This window comes from Homo sapiens, chromosome 6 (assembly GCF_000001405.40).
Source record: "Homo sapiens chromosome 6, GRCh38.p14 Primary Assembly".
Taxonomy (NCBI): domain Eukaryota; kingdom Metazoa; phylum Chordata; class Mammalia; order Primates; family Hominidae; genus Homo; species Homo sapiens.
This window is the reverse complement of record NC_000006.12, coordinates 121372853-121382169: the sequence shown is the minus strand read 5'-3', so window position 1 is coordinate 121382169 and position 9317 is coordinate 121372853. Positions and strand designations below refer to the sequence as shown.

Genomic DNA, 9317 nt, shown 5'->3' with positions numbered 1-9317 from the left:
GATTCACCCATCACGGCCTCCCAAAGTGCTGGGATTACAGGCGTGAGCCACTGCGCCCAGCCAACTTTTGTACTTTCTATCACTTGCTGGTTTGTCTCTGAAAGAGCCTAACAGACTGACCAAATAGCTGAGGGAGATCAGATGTGAGCAAGCAAAGGAAAAGTGCTAAAGACTTAAACAGGTTTGGTAACCAGAAAGATGAAGAACAGCTAAAACCTGATGGATGTCGTTGAACTAAAATTTTCGGGAGAGGCAGAATAAATCTTTTTTTCTCATGAGGAATTTTCTTTGTAAATATGGATTACACCTCTAGAAAAAATTCCCAGGATCTTCCCTCCTGTGTGTTTTCATCCTGATTCTTTGTGGTCCATGATGCCAGCTGAGGTTGTCAGTACAACAAACCTAAACTAGCAGGATGGAAGCAAATTATTCTGCCATTTTTCTAGATCTTTGAGTTGCATATCAAATTTGGGGCCGATCACTCCACACTAGTTTAGACTTCCTGTGAGGTTCACAACAATTATCCCTGCTCTGTGATCATCAGTGACTTTAAATTTGTCAATGTAACCATGCTTCATCATCACAGTTAGGAATCAGACAATAACTTTGGAGCACGGCCTAATAAGAACCTAGCATTTGCCTCTCTTTTCAGCATTGTTGATGCTCTTGAGATCATCAGCCAGGACATTTATGCACACCGTTGTGGCAGTGCAGAAAGATGGCGGAAAGAGAACAGGAAGGGAGAGTACACGGAGTTATCCAGAATAAACCTTTACAAAGAACCAATGAGGACTTTTTGTGACAAACTTACAGTATATACACATACATAAAAAGACTTGCTGGAATTATGAAACACGATTTTCAAAAATAAATATCATTAGACTAAATAAACAAAGAGAATGGTTGTTGCTGAAAATTAAATTGATAGTTTTGGAGATTACATTAAAGAAAACAAATGCAAAACAAAACACAAAAAGACAGAAATCATGAGGTAAAGAGAAGAAACTTGGGAACATTTCAAGAGTCAGAACATAGGGCTGGGTGCGGTGGCTCACGTCTGTAATCCCAGCACTTTGGGAGGCCGAGGTGGGCAGATCACAAGGTCAGGAGTTCAAGACCAGCCTGACCAATCTGGTGAAACCCTGTCTCTACTAAAAATACAAAAATTAGCTGGGCATGGTGGCACGTGCCTGTAATCTCAGCAACTTGGGAGGCTGAGGCAGGAGAATCGCTTGAACCTGGGAGGCGGAGGTTGCAGTGAGCTGAGATCGCGCCACTGCACTCCAGCCTGGGTGACAGAGTGAGATTCTGTCTCAAAAAAAAAAAAAAAGAGTCAGAACATAATAACAATTAGAATTCCAGAAATAATTTTGTTACTCTTCCCAGTCAGAACAAAGGTGGAGGAATCATATTTTCTGATTTCTTTCTTTTTTTTTTTTTTTTTGAGACAGAGTCTCACTCCGTTTCCCAGGCTAGAGTGCAGTAGGGCGATCTCAGCTCACTGCAACCTCCGCCTCCCGGGTTCCAGCGATTCTCCCACCTCAGCCTCCAGAGTAGCTAGGATTACAGGCACTCGCCACCAGGCGTGGCTAATTTTTTGTATTTTTAGTAGAGATAGGGTTTCACCATGTTAGCCAGGCTGGTCTCAAACTCCTGACCTGAAGTGATCCACCCACCTCGGCCTCCCAAAGTGCTGGGATTACAGGCGTGAGCCACTGTGCCTAGCCATATATTTTCTGATTTCAAAACGTATTATAAAGTGATTAAAATCAGAGGAGGATAGTACTGGCAAAAAAAGCAGACATATCAACCAATGAAACAGTATAGAAAATTCAGAAATAAACCTATGCATTTATGGTCAATTGATTTTTGACAAACATGCCAATAACTCACAGTGGGGAAATGTCAGTCTCTTCAACAGATGGTTTTGAGAAAACTGGATATCCACATGCAGAATAATGAAGTTAGACTCTTGCCTTACACCATATAAAAAAATCAACTCAAAATGAATTAAAGACTTAAACACATATAAGACCTGAAACTGTTAAGCCACTAGAAGAAAACATAGTGGAAAATTTCCATGACATTTTTCTGGACAATAAAGTGTGTGTGTGTGTGTGTGTGTGTGTGTGTTCAATAACGTGTGTGTGTGTGTGTGCGTGCACGTGTGTGTGTGTGTTCCACTAAGGCTTTATTGATGGACACTGAAATTTGAATTTTCTATAATTTTTATGTTTCACAAAATAATTTTCTTCTTTTGCTTTTTATCTCCAACCATATAAAAGGTAAAAACCATTCTTAGTGTGAGAGTCACATAAAAACTGGAGGCAGGCCAGATTTGGCCTGCAGGTCACAGTTTGGGCAATGACTTTTTTGATATGACCCTAAAAACGTAGGCAACAAAAGCAAAAATAGACAGGGCCAGGTGGGGTGGCTCACACCTGTAATCCCAGTTCTTTGGAGGCCAAAGCAGGAGGATCGTTTGAGGCCAGGAGTTTGAGACCAGCCTGGGCAACATAGTGAGGCCCTGTGCCTACAAAAAAATTAAAACATTAGCTAGGCATGGTGGCACACATCTAAAGTCCCAGCTTCTTGAAAGGATGAAGTGGGAGGATCACTTGAGCTCAAGAGTCTGTGGCTACAGTGAGCTATGATTATGCCACTGCACTTTAGCCTAGATGGCAGAGTGAGACCCTGTCTCTAAAAATAAAATAAAATAAAAAAATGGGATGGGCTCAAACTAAAAAACTTCTGCCCAGCAAAGGAAACAATTAACACAGTGAAGAGACAACCCACAGAATGGAAGGAAATATTTTCAACCATACATCTAATAAGGAGTTAATATCCAAAATATATAAAGAAGTAAAAAAACAACTCAATAGACAGAAAACAAATAACCTAATTAAAAATAGACAAAGGACCTGAATACACATTTTTCAAAAGAAGATATACAAATGGCCAATAGGTACATGAAAAAAAATGCTCAGTATCAGTAATCATCAGAGAAACATGAATTATAGTAAAATCACAATGAGATATCATCTCACACTCATTAGAATGGCTTTTATAAAAATAATGAAAGATAAATGTTGGAGAAGATGTGGAGAATACAAAACTCTTGTATATTGCTGGTGGGAATGTAAATTAGTACAGTCATTATGGAAAACGGTATGGAGGTTCCTCAAAAAACTAAAAATTGAACTACCATATGGTACAGTAATTACACTTTTGGGTATACAGTCAAAGAAATTGAAATGAATATGTTGAAGGAGGCTGATCTGAATGCAGTGGTGTTCACAACTAATTGATCAAAACTAGTTACACATTTCTTTGTTCCTTCTCCACTCCCACTGCTTCACAAAACTAGCATTAAATAAAAAAGAATATGTCAAAGGAATACCTGCATTCCCATGTTCATTGCATGATTATTCACAAAAGCTAAGATGTAGAATCAACTTAAGTGTCCATCAATGGATGAATGCATAGAAAATGTAAGATATATACACAATGAGATACTATTAAGTCTAAAACTAGGGTGAAATTCTGTCATTTATGACAACATAGATAAATCTGGAGGATATTATTCTAAGTAAAATAATCCAAATACCAAAGAAAATGCAGAAAACAAATGCCACATGATCTCACTTACATGTAGAATCTAATAAAGTTGAACTCATAGAAGCAGAGAGTAGAATGATGGCTACCAGAGACTGGGAAAGGAGGGGCAGTAGGAAAGGAAGGAATAGGGAGTTGTTGATCCAAGAGTACAAAGTTTCAGGTAGGAGAAATAGGTTTGAGGTCTATTATGTATAATGTACTTTATAGAGAACAATGTATAGTATATTTCAAAATAAAACAGTACATTTAAAATGTCTCATCATTGAAAATGATAGGTTTAGCCAGGCATGATGGCATGTGCCTGTGGTCCCAGCTACTCAGGAGGCTGAGGAAAGAGGATTCCTTGAGCCTGGGAGGTTGAGACTGCAGTAAGCCAAGATCACACCATTGAACTCAAGCTTGGGCAACGAGTGAGACCCTGTCTCAAAAAAAGAAACATATATATGTATATATATATATATATATATATATATATATATATTTGGTAAGTGAGGTGATGGATATGTTAATGAGCCTGATTTAATCATTTCACATTGTACACATATATCAAAACATCACATAGTACCCCATAAACATATGCAATTATGATTGGTCAATCAAAAATAATATTAATAATAACAAATATAATACTTTTTTAAAATAGAGATTTTTATAGACTACATTCTTTCATTACAATTCCAGAATGCTTAGCTACTTTTAAATAAATAAAAACTCTCCAAAATATTCATCTGATGAAAAGAGGAGCTAAAATTACCAATTACTAATTATGTAGAAATTATTGAAAGAGAGTACACCTCATAGCAGCTAAAGCTGCTCTCATAGGATAAATCAAAGCTGTGAAATGTTTTTATTTTATTAAAAAAATAAAATATCCTAGTTTTTAAGTGCTCCAAAATAAGGGCCTGAGACAAGTCTTGGCAGCAGAGAGTTTATCTGGCAGAAAGTAGGGGTGCAATCGTGTGCAAAACAAGACAAGAAAAGAGGAAGAGATGATAGAAATAAGGCTGATAAGGTGATTGCTGTTGCTGTTGTGACCGATGGGGCTGAGATCCACCATGGCCTCCTAAAAGGCATGCAGAAAGCATTCCTCCCTCTCCTGGAATTCTCCACATAAAAATAATAGTTTTATTTAAAAGTCAAATGGAAAAATAGTCAGTAGCACACAATATAAATTTAAAAATTCAATGATGAGGAAATTGCTTTACTAGACATTAAAACTTGTGATAAAATCCAGTGTAACCAAATTGGAAATAGACACAAGGATATACAGAAAATATAATTATTTTATATTAATTATGTGAAAGATTATTTAATAAATTATGTTAACATGATGGGTTATTCATCTGGGAAAAAAATGCCCAGCCCAGAACAACAGGACCTCTATCTTACCCCATACATAAAACTACATCCAAGATTGATCAAAGGTCTAAATATACTGGATGCAATGGCTCTATTTTTAGTTTTTTGAGGAATCTCCAAACGTTCTTCATCGTGGTTGTGCTAATTTACATTCTTGCCAGTATGAGGATATGAGGGTTCCCTTTTCTCCACATTCTCTCCAACATATGTTATTGCCTGTCTTTCGTGAAAGGAAAATAAACCTCAGGACCCTCCAAATCACTGAGCCAATGGGAAAAGTCAAGCTGGGAACTGCATCAGGCAAATCTGCCTACCATTTTATTCCTAAATAAGGTAGGTACGAATATTTTTTTTAAAAAGCTACATACCTCCCTTAAAATTTGCCCACAAGGAAATTCCTGTGGGCCTCAATATCTTTACCCTAAAACAGTTCTGCTGAATTCCACCTTGGCAATATAAATTGATAGCTTATCTTCACAGGTTCAGGAAAAAGGACAGAACTCAAAGTCATCCTCACCTGCGACAAATGCGTATTTGATTGCTTCCTCTGTCCTACTGTTTATGTAAAAATGCAGATTCACTAACCCAGACTGAGGCATGTGACTAATCCTCTATCCTTCTCTCACATGTAAGAAATGTGAGCCCCCCCACCCCCGCAACACTCACTCCTTTCAAGTTGTCCCACCTTTCTGGACTGAACCAATATACCTCTTATACATATTGGTTGATGTCTCACACATCCCTGAAACGTATACAATCAAGCTGTACCCCAACCACCTTGGGCCCAAGTCATCAGGACCTCCTGAGGCTGTGTCACAGGTACATCCTTAACCTTGGCAAATACGTTTTTAAATTGATTGAGACCTATCTCAGATACTTTTGGGTTCACACTTTGGATATAAAGCCATTTTAACTGGGCTGAGAGGATATCTCATTGTAGCTTTGATCTGCATTTCTTTGATAATCAATGATGTTGAGCACCTTTCATATGCCTGTTTGCCATTTGTATGTCTTTTTTTTTTTTTTTGAGATGTGGTCTCACTCTGTCACCTAGGCTGGAGTGCAGTGGCACAATCTTGGCTCATGGCAGCCTCCACCTTCTGGGCTCAAGTGATCTCCCACCTGAGCCTCTCGAGCAGCTGGGACTACAGGTACGCACAATCATTCCCAGCTATTTTTTTGTATTTTTGGTGGAGACAAGGTTTCACCGTGTTGCCCAGGCTGGTCTGGAACTCCTGAGCTCAAGCAATCTACCTGTCTTGGCCTCCCAAAGTGCTGGGATTACAGGTGTGAGCCACTGCGAATGGCCTGTATGTCTTTTTCTGAAAAATGTCTATTCAGATCTTTTGGCCATTTTAAAATCAGATTATTAAATTTTTTCCTAAATAGTTGTTTAAGTTCCTTACATATTTTGGTTATTAATCTCTTGTCAGATGGATAGTTTGCAAATAATTTTCTCTGATTCTGTGGATTCATTCTTCACTGTGTTAACTGTTTCTTCTGCTGTGCAGAAGCTTTTTAACTTGAAGTGATTCCATTTGTCCATTTTTGCATCAGTTGTTTGTGCTTGTGGGGTATTACTCAGGAAATCTTTGCCCAATCCAATGTCATAGGGAGTTTCCTCAATGTTTTCTTGTAGTAGTTTCATAGTTTGAGGTTTTCAAGTTAAGATTTTAATCCATTTTGATTTGATTTTTGTATGTTACAAGAGATAAGTGTCTAGTTTCATTCTTCTGCACATGGATATCCACTTTTTCCAGCACCATTTATTGAAGAGACTGTTTTTTTCCCAAATGCATATTTTTCACAACTTCATTGAAAATGAGTTAACTGTACATGTATAAATTTGTTTCTGCATTCTCTATACTGTTTCACAAGTCTATGTGTCTGTTGTTATGCCAATACCATGCTGTTTCAGTTGCTATAGCTCTGTAGTATAATTGAATTCAGGTAATGTGATTCCTCCAGTTTTGTTCTTTTTGCTAAGGATAGCTCTTTGGCTATTCTGAGCCCTTTGTGGATCCATATAATTTGTTGAATGTTTTTAAATTTCTCTGAAGAATGTCACTGGTATTTTGATAGGAACTGCATTGAATTTATAGATTGCTTTGGCTAGTATGAGCATTTTAACAATATTTATTCTTCCAATCCATGAACATGTAATATTTTTCCATTTTTTGATGTCTTATTCAATTTCTTCTTAAATTTATTTTTGAAATGATAATTATTAAAGAAAGTTCTTTTAAACATAAATATAAAGCTAATAATTTTGAAAATACGTGAGAGAAAGAGCTAATAATAAATAAAGCTAATAATGCCTTAAAATAGAGCTTATCCATTTTGAGGGGTGAAAAACCAAAATATATGTCTTGAGGTTGCTTTTGGAGAGCAAAAGGCATTGGGATTAAAGCATTTTGGCAAGTATTTACAGCCAACATATTATTTTTTCCGTCATCATTATTATTTATTTATTTTTTATTATACTTTCAGTTCTGGGATACATGTGCAGAATGTGCAGGTTTGTTACATAGGTATACATGTGCCATGGTGGTTTGCTGCACCCATCAACCCGTCATCTACATTAGACATTTTTCCTAATGTTTTCCCTTCACTAGGCTCCGCATCCCCTGACAGGCCCCAGTGTGTGATGTTCCCCTCCCTGTGTCCATGTGTTCTCATTGTTCAACTACCACTTATGAGTGAGAACATGTGGTGTTTGGTTTTCTGATCTTGTGTTAGTTTGATGAGAATGATGGTTTCCAGCTTCATCCATGTCCCTGCAAAGGACATGAACTCATCCTTTTTTATGGCTGCATAGTATTCCATGGTGTATATGTGCCACATTTTCTTTATCCAGTCTATCATTGATGGGCATTTGGGTTGGTTCCAAGTCTTTGCTATTGTGAAAAGTGCTGCAATAAACATATGTGTGCATGTGTCTTTATAGTAGAATGATTTATAATCCTTTGGGTAGATAACAAATAATGGGATTGCTTAGTCAAATGGTATTTCTGGTTCTAGTGGTTCTGGATCCTTGAGGAATCACCACATTGTCTTCCAAAATGGTTGAACTAATTTACACTCCCACCAACTGTGTAAAAGTGTTCCTATTTCTCCACATCCTCTCCAGCATCTGTTGTTTCCTTTTTTTTTTTTTTGAGATGAAGCCTCACTCTGTCACCCAGGCTGGAGTGCAGTGGTACAATCTCAGTTCACTGCAAACTCCGCCTCCCAGTTCAAGCAATTCTCTGCCTCAGCCTCCCAAGTAGCTGGGATTACAGGTGCCCGGCACCACACCCAGTTACTTTTTGTATTTTTAGAAAACACAGGGTTTCACCATCTTGGCCAGGCTGGTCTTGAACTCTTGACCTAGTGATCCACCTGCCTTGGCCTCCCAAAGTGCTGGAATTACAGGTGTGAGCCAGCAAGCCCGACTGTTTCCTGACTTTTTAATGATCACCATTCTAACTGGCGTGAGATGGTATCTTGTGGTTTTCATTTGCATTTCTCTGATGGCCGGTGATGATGAGCATTTTTTCATGTGTCCGTTGGCTGCATAAATGTCTTCTTTTGAGAAGTGTCTTTTCATATCCTTTACCCACTGTTTGATGGGGTTGTTTGTTTTTTTCTTGTAAATTTGTTTAAGTACTTTGTAGATTCTGGATAGTAGCCCTTTGTCAGATGGGTAGATTGCATAAATTTTCTCCCATTCTGTAGGTTTCCTGTTCACTCTGATGTTAGTTTATTTTGCTGTGCAGAAGCTGTTTAGTTTTATTGGATCCCATTTGTCAATTTTGTCTCTTGTTGCCATTGCTTTTAGTGTTTTAGTCATGAAGTCTTTTCACATGCCTATGTCCTGAATAGTATTGCTTAGGTTTTCTTCTAGGGTTTTTATGGTTTTAGGTCTTATGTTTAAGTCTTTAATCCATCTTGAGTTAACTTTTGCATAAGTTAACTTTTGCATAAGGAAGGGGTCCAGTTTCAGTTTTCTGCATATGGCTAGCCAGTTTTCCCACCACCATTTATTAAATAGGGAATTCTTTCCCCATTGCTTGTTTTTGTCAGGTTTGTCAAAGATCAGATGGTTATAGACGTGTGGTGTTATTCCTGAGGCCTCTGTTCTGTTCCATTGGTCTATGTATCTGTTTTGGTACCAGTACCATGCTGTTTCGGTTACTGTAGCCTTGTAGTGTAGTTTGAAGTCAGATAGCATGATGCCTCCAGCTTTGTTCTTTTTGCTTAGGATTGTCTTGACTTTACGGGCTCTTTTTTTGGTTTCATATGAAATTTAAAGTAGTTTTTTTCTAATTCTGTGAAGAAAGTGAATGGTAGCTTGATGG

General features: G+C 37.8%; 1 pseudogene, besides 2 other annotated features; it reads right to left on the bottom strand.

Annotated features, from left to right (window-relative positions):
- On the bottom strand, positions 274-731 carry RPS15AP21 (ribosomal protein S15a pseudogene 21; annotated as a pseudogene).
- Positions 5216-5715: an enhancer, noted in NCBI's record as "NANOG-H3K4me1 hESC enhancer chr6:121697601-121698100 (GRCh37/hg19 assembly coordinates)". NCBI's record gives its function as "activates a minimal SCP1, AML or CMV promoter by ChIP-STARR-seq in primed H9 embryonic stem cells {active_cell/tissue: H9 hESC(primed)}" and the evidence as "EXISTENCE:reporter gene assay evidence [ECO:0000049][PMID:30033119]".
- Positions 5716-6217: an enhancer, noted in NCBI's record as "NANOG-H3K4me1 hESC enhancer chr6:121697099-121697600 (GRCh37/hg19 assembly coordinates)". NCBI's record gives its function as "activates a minimal SCP1, AML or CMV promoter by ChIP-STARR-seq in naive and primed H9 embryonic stem cells {active_cell/tissue: H9 hESC(naive and primed)}" and the evidence as "EXISTENCE:reporter gene assay evidence [ECO:0000049][PMID:30033119]".